The following is a 15,330-nucleotide window of genomic DNA, read 5'->3' as shown; positions in this document are numbered from 1 at the left end:
CATTCAGGTCTTCTTGAGAGAGGATCTGATGGGTCCTGGACCAGCAAATGAACACATATGACTGCCCCTTCCAGAGGCAGGTAGCTCTGAGAGGCAGGTCCTTCGGAAAGAACACTTTTCTTTCTTTCTTCCTTTTTTAAGTACAGGGTCTCGGTGGTGCCCAGGCTGGAGTGCAGTGGCACCATCATGCCTTACCACAGGCTCAACCTCCCCAGGCTCAGGTGATTCTCCCATCTCAGCCTCCCAGGTAACTGGGACTACAGGCACTCACCACCACACCCAGCTCATTTTTAAAAATTTTGGTAGAGACAGGGTTTTGCCACATTGCTCAGACTGGCCTCGAACTTCTGAGCTCAAGTAATCTGCCCGCCTCAGCCTCTCGAAGTGCTGGGACTACAGGTGTAAGCCATCACACCCAGCCTGCAATTTTTCTATAGGACATTCCTCTTTTCCCCACTGACTTCTCACATATTTTGCAAATTATATCTTTCCATTTGTCTTTATGCCTTTTACAATACAAAAGTTTTACATTTCAACATGGTTAGACCTATTGGCCTTATTTCTCACTTCTGACCCTCATGGCATTCTGAGAAAGGCCTTTCTCAACTCAGGCTCATAAAACCTTTCTTTCTTTTATTTTCCCTATGACTTTAACAATTTTTGTCTTATGTTATTTGAATATCAAATCCATTTCAAATTCATTTTTACAATCAAATTAATCATCTCTCGAAGAATCATCTCCACACCATCGCTTGGTGAGGCCCTCCTTTCCCCACTGACTTGCCTTGACGTCCCACCTGCCACTGTCTGTGGTGGTTACTGGCAGGGACATTTGAATGGGACACACTTGGGTTCTGGGTCCCGCTCTGCCACTTACTGGCTGTGTGACCCTGAGTAGGTTACTTAAGGTCTCTGGGCCTGTGCCTCCTCCTTGTAAAGTGGGGATCACCAGGGTTCCAGACTCAGGTGATTGCTGTGGAATGAATTGATGCAGTCCCTCCCAATCACCAGTAACTGTCCTCATGATTACTGTTTCCTAATTCCCCCCAACCCCATTTCAAGAACCTATGCCTGGGCTGTCACTGGTTCTCTCTGTCTGCTCCACCCCAGGACCACACCATTTACACCCTCCGGTTCTGTAGCACGTGTTAGTATCCTCCAGTCTGTAAGCTTCTTGAGGACAACTATGGTGCCTCAGAACCTGGTATATAGTAGGTGCTCAATGAATATCCACAGAAAGAATGACTGAGTAATGTGAGCTCCCCTCCTTGTTATATTTCTTAGACATTTTCTTGGCTATTCTTGAGCATTTTTTTCTCCCTAATTAATTTTAATTAATTTGTCAAGATCTTCTCCCGGGTACTAATGGGATTTTTATTGGCATTACAGCAAATTAATGAAGTGATTTGAGGCGAATTGGCCTTACAGCCCCAGGAACATGAGCTGCAGTGCATTTACCCAGCCCTTCTTTCATGAGCTTAGCTGCATCGTTTCCTTGTTATTGGCCTGGCCTGTTTGCCTGCATGTTTATTCCTAGATGTTTTGCTGTTTCTCTTGCTTTTTTGAAAGATGTCTCTTCTCCATTGTAGTGGCTGAGCAGTTAGCATCTTGGGTGGAATCAATATCCTACCTCTTTCTGGCATCAGTGGTTATGAGCACACAGCTTCAGAGTCCAGCAGATCTGGGTGTGAATCCACTTAATAAGTGCATGACCTTGAGAAATGACCTTCCACCTCGAGTCTCAGTTTCCTGGCCTGTGACAGAGAAGAAGTAACATATGTGCCACAGTCTTGCTGTGAATATTAAATTAGATACTTTGAGTAAAGCTTTTAGCGTGGTACCAGTACAAATACGCAAGAAATGTCTTCTATTATGGTTATTTAGTAATATCACTGGCATAAATATTTTATAACTCTAAACAATGTACTATCATGCTGGGCGTTTTGTTATTACTATACACAAAAAACATTTCTGATGCCACACCCCCGACCCCATCTCTTTGGTAGCTAGGGGACGGCACTATTTTCTTAGTGCTCTGCCTAACGATCTTTCAGATTCTTGAAAGCAATGTGGATGTTGAGTGTGGAGATGCAGACAGAGAAAGAGAAATTGCTCCAAGACCAGGTGGAGACTGAGGATGGGGACAGGAAACATTGAAAGGCATGAGTGAAAGTAACAGGAAAGGGTTCTTGGGGGGAAAGAGAGAGAGAGAGAGAGAGAATGAGAGAGAGCAGGATGGGAGGAGACAGTAGAGAAGTGTCAAATGTGATGAGGGCTTGGGAGGGAAATCCTCAGGCCTCTCCACTGTCTTTGCTCCTCTGACTTTCTGGCCAAGCAAGGAAGTTCTGAGCACCGCCCTCCCAACCCAAGACCTCTGCCTGGGTATCTCCAGGAGGCCCTTGATCCTCAAGACAGAGCAGCTGGACCAACAATCTCAGCACAGCAGCTGCCCCCAGTGCATCTACGGAGGCTGCAGGTCCCCTGCAGGGCCCCAGATTCCCAGGCCCCACAGAGGCCTGAGCCCACTAGAAAGTGATGTGCCTCCCAGTTCCTCCGGGAGGAGGCTGGCAGAAGGATTGGGAAACCAGCCGTGGGGACCTATATCTGCTGCAGGGCGTGGGCGTGGAGAGAAAGGCCAGCAGGCTCCCTGCCCCCCAGCCCTTCCCAGCTGAGGCTTCTCTAGCAGTCTCAGCATGTTTCCCTACCTCCAGGTGGGATTCTGCAGGGCTGGAAGGGTTCAAGCATCCTTCTTTGAAATCCAGCGCTAAGGTCTTATGACACCATTTATTACCTATGAACACTGTGCAGGAATGAGTGTATTCTCTCATTCTGGGCCACCAAGTAAATTTCCTGACACAGCCCCTAACACAGCATGTTAGAAACCGTCAAGGCAGGAAACAGTGCACTGCAAGTGGGTAATTGGAGCAGTACATGAGAGAGACTTTTTACAAAGGTGCAGGCAGGCTGAAGAGGAGCCACAAAAGTCAGTGCCGCACCCTTGGTGGTCACAGCCAGGCATCTGTACCCCTAGGGCTGAAGCGGGAAGGGGAGAGTGCAGAGTCCAGCACCTGGACACAGAGAGGGCTAGGGAGGAGCAGCCATCATCAGTCAGAGAGGCGGCCAACCCAGCCCCCAACCTCACTCCCTGCTTCCCTCCTGGCAGCAATGCCTGTTGGCTGAACACAACAGGAAGCCAGGGGACGAGGGAGCTCTTTGATGTAGCAGGCTTTTGCAGTGGAGAGAGGGTCTGGAGGGACAGATGGACATTACCCATCATGGCAGGGAAGCCCTACATCGCTCTCCAGGAGAGTGATGGCAGACGTGTGTGGCAGGTGCCTGGCTCTGTAACAAGCCCTTTATCTGTATGAATTTATTTAATCCCCACCACAGCCCTTTGAGATAGGTGTGATTACTAGCAGCATCTTTACTTTGCTCACAGGGAAACTGAGGCCCAGAGAGGTTAACAACTTGCCCAAGTTGCCCTGCTACCGAGAGGCAGAGCTGGGACCTGGATCCAGGTCGCGTAGCCTGGGGTCTGAGGTCTGAGGCACTCCCCTGCACTGCTCCCTGCCCCTTGTTGGGGACCCCCAGAGGAGCGCCTCCTGCACGTCACGTGTTAACCACCTTCCCATGAGGCTCTGCCCTGTAGAATGTGCTAGGTTGGCACGCATCCTATGTTAAGGCAGAGCCTCAACTAGGACAGAATCCTACTCAAGCACCTTACTCAGGGGGATCCACTGGAGCTGTATTGAGCTGGCAGCAAGTGACAAGAACAATCAGGTCGCCTGTGACAACCGATGGCTGGAGGTCCTGTGTGTGTTTAAACCAGCATCTCTGCTCTCAATCCTAGTGACAGCCTTGGGTTTCAGCCTCGTCCTGTGTCCCAGAGTCAGACAGGTAGCCAGGCCCTTGGCTATACGTCCCAGCTCCATCACTTTCTAGCCGGGTGGCCTTGAACTCACCTCACTCTTCTCACCTGCAAATCGGGGAGATAACAGTCTTATCTCAGGGGATTGTTGTGAGGCTGAAAAGAGTAAATGTGAGTAATGATAGCGGTTCTTGGCACATTGTGTACACTATGTGTTAGCTATTTTTGCTGGTGTTCATCATCATTATGATTAGACAGAGATCAGCCCTCTCATCATAGGCCTCCAGTGCAGAGCTTCTCAACCCTGGCTGTGCATTAGGAGCTGCTGGGATGTTTCAAGGATGTGTGTGCCTGGGCTGCCCAGCAGACAACTCAATCAGAATATCTGCTAACGGCCGGGGGCGGTGGCTCATGCCTGTAATCCCAGCACTTTGGGAGGCCAAGGCGGGCGGATCACGAGGTCAAAAGATCGAGACCATCCTGGCAGACATGGTAAAACCCTGTCTCTACTAAAAATACAAAAGTTAGCTGGGTGGCGCGTGCCTGTAGTCTCAGCTACTCGGGAGCCTGAGGCAGGAGAATTGCTTGAACCCAGGAGGCGGGGGTTGCAGTGAGCCGAGATTGTGCCACTGCACTCCAACCCGGGCAACAGAGCAAGACTCCCTCTCAAAAAAAAAAAAAAAAAAAAAAAGACTATCTGCTAGCAGGTGAGGGGGGACCCAGGCAAGGGTAAGAGATGGTTCCAGGAGCTGAAATCTAGCAGGGAGCACAAGAGGAACTGCATGGCTGGGTTGGTTTCTTCATTTGAATGTGAATGGTAAGGAATGTCGAAATCAAGGGCATATTTCACAAGGGAAAGGGAGTGAATTTGAACAGCTCTGAGGACACATTTTGCAGGAGAGAAAAGAGGTGGGCAAACAGTTGACAGGACAACAGCAAGAAAGTGGAAGGTGCGTGCCAAGGGCCACGACCACTACCTTGGCCCTTTGCTAGGGCTGGGCATAGGGATGGCGCATGGTAAGCATTTGTTTAATGAAGGAATGAATGAAGGAGCCCACAAGTCCTTTAAAACATTGCGTTCACAACCCTAGATTTCTGTGTATTCTGTTTCCTAGGGCTGTGTAAGGCTGTGTAACAAAATACCACAAGCCAGATAGCTTAAACAACAGAAGTGTATTGTCTCACACTTCTGGAGGCTGGAAGTCCAAGATCAAGATGACAGCAGGGTTGGTTTCTTCTCAGAGTCATGAGGGAGAATCTGTTCTGTGCCATTCCTCTAGCCGCTGGTGGCCCCCTTGGATTGTAGATGACATTCCCCCTGTGTCTTCACATCTCTTCCCTCTATACATGTGTCTCTGTGTCCAAATATCCCCTTTTTATAAGGACACAGTCATACTGGATTAGAGCTCTCCCTAATGACCACATCTTGATCATCTTCAAAGACCCTATTTCCAAATAAGGTCACATTCACAAGTATTGGGGGTAAGGACTTCAACATCTTTTGGGGGGTACACAGTTCAACCCAGAGCATTGCTATTTCAGCCACCTTAAGAGCTTAGACATTTATTCATTCCCTTTATACCTCTAGTGAACATTTAAATGTGTACCGTGCCCTGGATGTTGGAAAAGAAAAGGCTGGGAGCACTGGTTCCCTGGCATCAAGCAGCTCACAGCCTAGAGGGTCAAACTGAAAATAGGTAGAAGGGAAAGGATCCAAAAGGGGGAGGACAGGGGAGAGAGTAGGGCAGGGTGCAGGGGGTAGGGGTTGCTGAGAATAGTCAGGCTGTTCTCAGGGCTCGGTTCTAAATCCTGTATAAACAAGCCCTCAATAAATCTATTTGCATTTATTATCCAGGTTCACTGGCCTCAAGTTCCCCAGGCATTTGAGGAGGTTCTTCCTTTTGCCTTAGTGAACAGGAGGCTTTTAAAAAAAATAACAGACTTCTGGCTGGGTGCAGTGGCTCACACCTGTAATCTCAGCACTTTGGGAGGCTGAGGCGGGTGCATCACCTGCAGTCGGGAGTTCGAGACCAGCCTGACCAACATGGAGAAACCCCATCTCTACTAAAAATACAAAATCAGCCGGGTGTGGTGGTGCATGCCTGTAATCCCAGCTACTTGGGAGGCTGAGGCAGGAGAACCACTTGAACCTGGGGGCGTGGAGGTTGTGGTGAGCTGAGATTGTGCCATTGCACTCCAGCCTGGGCAACAAGAGCAAAACTCCATCTCAAAAAAAAAAAAAAAAAAAAGAAGCAGCAGCAGCTCTGGTGGATGATGAAATCCTCCCATTTCTTTCTCCCCATGGTGTTTTTCAAAATTATAAAATCTTTTTATTTTTATAGATTTAGAGGGTACAAAGGCAGTTTTGTTACAGGGATATATCGCCAGTGGTGAAATTGGGGCTTTTAGTGTATGTTTCACCTGAAAAGTGTACATCATACCCACTAAGTAATCTCTCATCCCTCACCACCCTCCCACCTTCCACCCTTCCAAGTCTCCAGTGTCTGTTATTCCATTCTATGTCCTTGTGGACACATTATTTAGCTCCCACTAATAAAAAACCTGTGGTATTTGACTTTCTCTTTCTGAGCTATTTCACTTAAGATAATGGCCTCCAGTTCCATCCATGTTGCTGCAAAAGACATGATTTCATTCTTTTTTATGGCTGAGTAGTACTATGTTGTGTATATATACCATGTTTTCCTTATCCAATCTTCCACTGACAGACACTTAGGTTGATTCCACGTCTTTGCTATTGTGAACAGTGCTGCAATAAACATATAAGCACAGATATCTTTTTTATGTAATGATTTCTTTTCCTTTGGGTAGATTCCCAGTGGGATTGTTGAATCAAATGGTAGTTTTCTATTTTTAGTTCTTTGAGAAATCTTCATACTGTTTCCCGTAGAGGTTGTACTAATTTACATTCCCACCAACAGTGTATAAGCATTCCCTTTTCTCCATATTCTTACTAACATCTGGTTTTTTTTTTTGACATTTTAATAGTAGTCTGACAGGTATAAGTTGGTGTCCCATTGTGGTTTTAATTTGCATTTCTCTAATGATTAATGATATCGAGATTTTTTTCAAATGCTTCTTGGCCACTTGTATATCTTCCTTTGAAAAAATGTCTGTTCATGTCATTTGCTCACTTTTTAATGGGGTTATTTATGGGTTTTTTTGTTGAGTTGTTTGAGTTCCTTGTTTATTCTGTTTATTTGTTAGAAGCATAGTTTGCAAATATTTTCTCCCATTCCGCAGGTTGCCTGTTCACTCTGTTGATTATTTCTTTTTGCTGTGCAGCAGCTTTTTAGTTTAATTAAGTTCTATTCGTCTATTTTTTTTTTTTTTTTTTTTTGAGATGGAGTTTTGCTCTTGTCACCCAGGCTGGAGTGCAGTGGTGCGATCTGGGCTCACTGCGACCTCTGCCTCCCAGGTTGAAGCAATTCTTCTGCCTCAGCCTCTTGAGTAGCTGGGATTACAGGCACCTGTCACCATGCCTGGCTAATTTTTGTATTTTTAGTAGAGACAGGGTTTTGCCATGTTGCCCAGGCTGGTCTTGAACTCCTGACCTCCGATGATCCATCCACTTCGGCCTCCCAAAGTGCTGGGATTATAGGTGTGAACCACCACCCCTGGCCTCCATTCCTCTATTTTTGTTTCTGTTGCATTTGCTTTTGAGATCTTAGTCATGAATTCTTTGCCTATGCCAATGTCCAGAAGAGTTTTTTTCTGGGGTTTTCTTCTAGTATTTTTATAGTTACAGGTCTTATATTCAAGTCTTTAATCCATCTTCAGTTAATTTTTGTATGTGATGAGAAATAGGGGTCCAGTTTCATTCTTCTGTATATGGAAGTCCAATTTCCTCAGCACTATTTAGTAAATAGGGGGTCCTTTTCCAGTGTGTGTTTTGGTCACAACTTTGTCAAAGATCAATTGCTTGTAGGTATGTGACTTTATTTCTGGGTTCGCTATTCTGTTCCATTGATCTATGTGTCTATTTTGTGTGTGTACCATGTTGTTTTGGTTACTAAACCCTTGTAGTATAATTGAAAGTCAGCTTTGTTCTTTTTGCCTAGGATTGCTTTCGTTATTAAAATCTGTTTTTTGGTTCCATGTGAATTTTAGGATTGTTTTTCTAATTCCACAAAAAACGACATTGGTTGTGTGATAGGAATTGCATTGAATCTGTAAGTTATTTTGGGCAGGATAGTCATTTTACTGATACTGATTCTTCCAACCCACGTGCATAGCATTTTTAAAATTTGTATCATCTATAGTTTCTTTCACCAGTGCTTTGAAGTTTTCCTTGTAGAGATTTTTCACCTCCTTGGGTAAATATATTTCTAGGTAATTTTTTGTAGCTGTTATAAATGGAATTGACTTCTTGATTTGGTTCTCAGATTGATTGTTATAGGTGTATAGAAATGCTATTGATTTTTGTACATTGATTTTGTATCCTGAAAATTTACTAAATTCGTTGATCAAATCCTGGAGTCTCTTGGTGGAGTGTTTAGGGTTTTCTAGGTATAGGATCATATTGTCATCAAATAGAGATCATTTGACTCCTCTTTTCAAATTTGGATGCCATTTACCTCTTTCTCTTGCCTGATTACTCTGGCTAGGACTTCCAGTACCATGTTGAATAGGAGTTGTGAAAGTGGGCATCCTTGCCTTGTTCCAGTTCTTAGGGGAAATGATTTCAACTTTTCTCCATTCCATATAATGTTGGCTGTGGGTTTGTCATATATGGCTTTTATTATTTTGAGGTATGTTCCTTCTGTGCTTAGTTTGTTGAGAGCTAAGAAAGACTTTGGGGGTGCTTGGGCAACTCAAGGAATGTGGAAAAACCTCTATGGGCAAGTTGGTGTTCACATGCCTAGAAAAATAAAAGAGAGATGTTTTAAGCTGGTGAGATACGTAGTACCAGGTATAGTAGTAGAAATGAATGGATCTACCAGGCGCGGTGGCTTACACCTGTAACCCCAGCACTTTGGGAGACTGAGGCGGGCAGATTACTTGAGGTCAGGAGTTTGAGACCAGCCTGACCAACATGGTGAAACCCCGTCTCTACTAAAAATACAAAAATTAACCAGGTGTGGTGGTGGGCACCCGTAATCCCAGCTACTCAGGTGGCTGAGGCAGGAGATTCACTTGAACCCGGGAGGCGGAGGTTGCAGTGAGCCAAGATCGTGCTACTGCACTCCAGCTTGGGCAACAGAGTGAGACTCTGTCTCAAAAACAAAAAGAAAAGAAAAGAATGGATCAGAAGGCCAGATAGCCTCCAGCAAGCAGACTCCATGGAGCCACTAAGCAGATAACCAAGGCCTCAGGCCTTGTAGCCTTCTCTGCCGCCCCAGTAAGTGAGTGACCATCCAGGTCCTGTGACAAGTACCCAGCCAATTTTTCTCTAGTGTGGTCAGCCCTGGCCTCTTTCCCAAATGAACAAGACCCCCTCATGAGCTGGCTCCCCCACCTCTCTGACCTCATCTCATAATGCTCGCTTCTTCCTTACTCTGCAGCAGCCACACTGGCCGTCTTGCTGCTTTATGAACATGCAAATTTCATTCCCACCTTGGAGCCCTTGCATTTGCTGCTCTCTGGGCCTGAAACACTTCCCAGAGCTCTTTGTGTGGCAGGATCCTTGTTGTTGTTTTGGCCTTCCCTGACCACCCTGTCTAAATGAGCAGCCCCTCTCACCTCTAGTTGCCCTCCATCCCGTTTCGCTGTTTCATTGTCTTCCTTGCGTATATGACTCTTGGAAATGTCATTGTTTGTTCATTTATTTGCCCGTTGATTGTGTATCTCTTTTCACTAGAATCCAAGCTCCATGTTTGTCTGTCTTGTTGTTTGCCAAATCTCCAGCATGTAGAATAGTGCCAGCCGCAGGGTAGGAGCTCAGCGATTCTTTGTTAAAATGAATGTTGATTCCTTTAACCCTTTCAGCGAAGGCCAGTTCACAGAGGCCCATGACCTTGATTGGCCTAGGGGACCCATAGGTCAGCTGTGTTGTGCCTGGTGGAGATCTGAACTTGGAGCTGACCCCGTCTCTGTCTTTTTTTTTTTTCCCTGACTGTTTTGAGCCTGTTTCCTCTTCTCTGAAAATGAGCTTACCTTATGGGATGTTGACCCACTCTAAGCGGGCGGGAGGTCAATGTTTTTGTGTTTGTGAAATCTGAAGTGGGTGGGACGCATGAGTTAGCAGCTTCCAAGAAGCAGAGGGAGAGAAAGCCAAAAAAGCACATTTCCTGGTCTCACCTTCTGGGAAGACTTGGGTGGGCTCAGTACCAGTGGACACCTCAGGGGACAGTGGGGGCCCAGCATGGGAGGTCCTCAAGGAGCAGAGTGGGCAAGGCTCTGGTGCTGAGTAGGATGAGCTGGGGTGTGGGCATGGGCCCAGGAAGGCCGGAGCCTGGCAACAGGAACAGCTTGGGCTGAAGGCCTGGGTCGGGAACCGCAAGGGCAGGAGGGAGGCCACGGACATTCATGGTCACTGATGATCTTCCAGATTTCAGGTCCTCTTCTTTTGTTCTAGGACACCTGGCTTAACTCCACTGGGGAGAACTTACTGCTCCTTCTTCAGTGCTCCTACTAAATGTTGCTCATACATCTTTGACCAGTATCTGGTTGTACAGTTGACCCTCAAACAACCTGGGTTCGAACTGCGCAGGTCCACTTCTACGTGGATTTTCTTCCTCCTCTGCCACTTGTGGACAAGGCAAACTCATCCTCTTCCTCCTTCTCCTCAATGTGAAGATAACAAGATAAAGACCTTTATGATGATCCACTTCCACTTAGCGAAGAGAAAACATATTTTCTTTTCCCAATGATTTTCTTAATAACATTTTATTTTCTCTAGCTTACTTCATTGTAAAAATACAGTATATAATACACATGACATACAAAATATGTATTCCATGGACTGTTTATGTTATCGGTAAGGCTTCTAGTCAACAGTGGGTTATTAGCAGTTAAGTCTTGGAGGAGACAAAAGTTATAGGCAGATTTTTTTACTGTGTAGGGTCTTGATGCCCTTAGCCTTCACATTGTTCAAGAGTCAATTGTATTTTCACATGTTTTTCCTTCCTTCTAGACTCTGGACTCTTGGAGCATAGCAATGATGACTTTTTGATTTATGTCCCCAGGCAGAATTAGGCAGTACTCCTTCTCTAGTGCTCCCACCGAACATAGCCTACGTGTTCGTGACAACAATGATCTGGTCAATTGGAATTGTTTATTCACATAGGTGGCTCTTTGTTGACCCGCAGGGTAGGGGTCAGATATTTTCATCTTTATGTCCCTAGCTCTTAGCACACCGAATAAACACTCAATAATAAGTTATTGAATGATAAAAGAAGAATAAATATTGTCCGGTGGAATTCGCATTCTCACATGCACCCTATGGATGTTCTCCATAGAGTTCATTATTGCTCAGCCCGTGAACTCTCCCTCTGTAACATTAGATTAAAGTGATTTGCCACTGGTATTTCAATGAACTTTTTTCCTTTCCTGCAGGCTGTAGGAGTCATCATCTATTGGGCTCTTATATTGATATACATTAGCTCATTTAATCTGCACAACACTTCCTCTGATGGCTAGAGAGTGCAAATGAAGCACAAAGAGGTGGGGAGCCAGGATTTGAACCCACATCCAGGAGAGGCCAGAGCCAGGCACTTTTGCCTGTGTTAGGACACCCAGAGGCAATAATAAACCTTTACCCAGGGCTGTAGCAGGATCAGATTTAGTGACAGCTGCTCGAATGATCTTCTGCCCTACCCCAAGGTGGGTGGGAGAAAGCCATTCCAAACCCTCAGCTGGGAGCCCGAGCAGATCCAAGATTCCCGAGGATGAGGTGGGGTGGCGTTTGGGCAGACTTGTGCGATGACAGCCAGTATGGGAAACCACTGGACACAGGTTCCAGAGGCCCTTCATTGCCAGCTAATGGTTGGTGTAGCTGCCAGGGTCCCAGGCTAGCAGGCAGCAGGCACCCCCTATGACCTTGTCTGCCAGAAGGAGACATCAGCTACACAGTTGTACTGCCTTTGGGATACATGCAAGATGGAGTCTTAGGGGCCCCAGGACAGTCAGAAGAAAACCCCATAATCTAGTTCCTGTCTGCCTTGACCTTGAGCAAGCCCCCCATCACCTCCAGCAGTGGGTGCCCCACACCCAAGTGTCTGTGGTCCTCCAGCTCCCTGACTGCAGTGTCTCCTCTTGTCCTGGAGATTGTCCTATAGTCCAAATTGCATCTGGTCTCGCCCCTGTTAGACCTGCTCTAAGGTCTTTCCGGCTTTTGCTAGAACCTTTTCCCAAGACTAGCCTCCTTCTTCTCTTCCCTAAACCTGCCAGGTGGAAACTTTTGGCAATGGCATGGGCTGAGTGCCTCATCACTGTGAATATTCAAGCAGAGGCTAGTGAGGGCCTCCCTTTGTGACTCCAAGGCCTGCAGTTCTAGGGTCTTCCTTATGGCTGGTATCAGTAAGCCCTGCAGAGGGAACTGTGTGAGCCCCAGAGCTGGCCCATCTTTCCTTGGAAGCTGTCCATTGCTCTCCCTGGCCTCCGTCTCCTCATGTGTCCATGGGGATGTTGACATCACCTCATAGGATTATTGTAGGGATAAAATGAGAGGAGGTTTGTAAAACCCCTAGTGCAGTGCAGGCACAGACACAGCACATGTTCCTCTGCCATTTGGGCTGCCACAGCAGCTGGTCTGCTGCTTTGTGCCAGACCCCTGGCCATGGCCTGAGCTGAATTTTGTGAGGATGGAGAGGAGGCTGGTGCCCACTGGGAAGGTGACTCCTTACTTTCCACATTGCTTTGGTTTGCATTTGTTCTCTAACACTCCCTCCCTCCTAGCCTTTGCTTATGTGGTTCCTCCTCTCCATATTTACTCACATGCCCATTCAACAATTATATACAGAATTTCTGACCCTAGTTTTATGTTAGGCACTCTTCAAGGTGCTGGGAACGATACAACTGTGAATAAGACAGCTCTCACGCAGCTTATATTCAAATCGGGAGAGAAATAAAGACAGTAACAGAAGGTATCTGCAATGGTGTGAAGTGCCCTGAAGAGTGTCAGGCATGGTGACTGGACAGTGTGACAGGGTGGGGATGGAGATGGTGAGGAATGGCAGGCCATAGAAACCAGCCCTGGCCATTGGATGCTGAACTGAACAGGAACAGGCTGGAGGGATCCCCAGGAATGAAGAGTGAGACTCAGAAAGGAGGCAGGTCCCAGGGAGACCTCAGCCAGACCAGCCATAGGACAGGCTATCACCCTTCCTCTCTGCATGGGCTAGTTGAGCCTCCTTACAACATGGCTGCACAAGGCTCTAGCACATGTGTTCTAGTGAACCAGATGGGAACTCCATCTCCTTTTACAACCGAGCCTTGGAAGTCACAGGGTGTCACTTCTGACACATTCTGTTGGTCAAGTTCCTAAGGTTGGCCCAAATTCAAGGGCACTCTACTTGTTAATGACTGACAAGAATATGTAGATATGCTTGAAAACTACCACATCATGCCAGTCTTACTCTTTTGCCACTGATGGGTCAACAGGTCAACACTGATTTTGCAACCTATTTCTGGCCAATGAGACATAAAGGCAAATCTCTTGCAGGTTTTCAAGCATAATTTTTCCTGCATAATAAGAGAGGATACTCCTTTTATGCCATCTTCTGTCCTTCTCTCTTGGGATACATTCATGCTGCTTGCAGCTGCGGCAGCCAAATTGCAAGCTGCCAGAATAAGAGGGACAGAGTGGGAAATTGGGAAGAGCGTGAGTCCTTGATGACATGGTTGAGCTATTGCCTCTACCCTGGAATCATTTAAGACCAGACATCTTGATATGTGAGAATAATAAACCCCTGCTGTATAAGCGCCTTTGCCTGCTGTTCCTTGCAGTTGACCATATGCTAATGCTGACTGGTGTAGGAATTCAAAGCACAGGCTTTGGAACAAGACCTTTCTTCCTTTTTTTTTTTTTGCGATGTAGTCTCGCTCTGTCACCCAGGCTGCAGTGGCATGATCTCGGCTCACTGCAAGCTCCACCTGCTGGGTTCACGCCATTCTCCTGCCTCAGCCTCCTGAGTAGCTGGGACTACAGGCGCCTGCCACCATGCCCGGCTAATTTTTTTTTGTATTTTTAGTAGAAACGGGGTTGCACTGTGTTAGCCGGGATGGTCTCTCCTGACCTCGTGATCTGCCTGGCTTGGCCTCCTAATGTGCTGAGGATTACAGGCGTGAGCCACTGCGCCCGGCCGGAACAAGACCTTTCTGTGTTTAAATTCTAGTCCTACATTTAGTCACTATGTGATCTTGGGCAAATCACTTCACTCTCTGAGTCTCACTGAATAATGAATGGAATAACTCTGCCCTACCTCACTGGGATGTTGGGAGGATTAATGAGATCTTGTACAGAACACATGGCATAGCATTTGGCATGTAGTACATGCTCAGCAAATTCCAGCTAATGATATGCAGTGATTTAAACCCACGTGGCAGGAGCTATCGCTTTCATGATCTCAACAATTTCGTGAGATGTGGGTGTTTATATCCTTGTTTTGGAGACAGGGAAAGCGAGGGTTAGGAAGGTGAAGTGACTTGCTGGAAGTCACATGGCTGGTGGGGATGGAGCCAGGGTTTCCGGGTCTGGCTGGGTCCACCTGTTCCTTCTCCACTTTGGTTTTGTTCTGACTCTTACTTTGTTTCCTGCAAAGCTGTCTCTGAGATCCATGTTTTGTGCCATGTACCAAGCTTCCCACAGTCACCCTCCTTACCCATGCACTGCTGTCAACTCTATTCTGCTGTGTCCTGCCCAAAGCTGCCTTCTTCTTCCCAGCCCCGTGGGCACCACCTTGTTTCTCTCACTGGGCTCACTGCAGTGCCTCTCAAGAGCTGGTTTGGAGGTTCTAGCAGGGGAGCACAGCTACTTTTATACCCTTAACAGAAGAATGGCCCTCCTCTCTCAGGGAAGGTCGCCCCCTTTGACTGAGCATACAGCTTTGGGAGGGACACATGTGGAGGGTTGAGGGAGGAAGGGGACACCCGCCTAGCCAGCCAGATCAGCTGAATCGGCTTTGGCAATCCAGTGGGGTGATAGATGTCACAACCAGATCGCCCTCCATCGTGCCGTGTCTCTTGAATGGTCTCCTTGTGTCCACTTGTGGTCCTCTGGGTCCAGAGGATTCTTCCTAGAACCTAAATCAGCTCGCATCTCTCCAGTGGCTTCTCAATACTCTTGGAGTAAAGAGCAAACTCCCTGTAGAGGCCTCCCAGGCCTGCAGCCTCTGAGCCCCGCTGTGTCCTGACCCTCCCACCACAGCCTACCATGCCCCACACACTGGGCGTCTCCCTCTTCCCTCTGCCAGCTGCCACTCCCTCTTCTGGGCTCCCTAGAGGGCCACTTCTGCCCACTCCTCCCATCTCTGATCCCTTGTAACTTTATGCCACACAACTTT

The 15,330-nt window shown here is 47.0% G+C and overlaps 1 pseudogene, besides 1 other annotated feature; it reads right to left on the bottom strand.

The window, feature by feature from the left end:
• Positions 4,184-4,377: a silencer, noted in NCBI's record as "fragment chr5:175065813-175066006 (GRCh37/hg19 assembly coordinates)". NCBI's record gives its function as "represses an EF-1alpha promoter that drives an FKBP-Casp9 reporter gene in an ReSE screen in phorbol 12-myristate 13-acetate-treated (for megakaryocytic differentiation) K562 erythroleukemia cells {active_cell/tissue: K562(+PMA)}" and the evidence as "EXISTENCE:reporter gene assay evidence [ECO:0000049][PMID:32094911]".
• RN7SKP148 (RN7SK pseudogene 148) lies at positions 14,764-14,998 on the bottom strand (annotated as a pseudogene).

This window comes from Homo sapiens, chromosome 5 (assembly GCF_000001405.40).
Source record: "Homo sapiens chromosome 5, GRCh38.p14 Primary Assembly".
Taxonomy (NCBI): domain Eukaryota; kingdom Metazoa; phylum Chordata; class Mammalia; order Primates; family Hominidae; genus Homo; species Homo sapiens.
The sequence above is the reverse complement of the archived record's forward strand: the minus strand, read 5'-3'. Positions and strand labels throughout refer to the sequence as shown.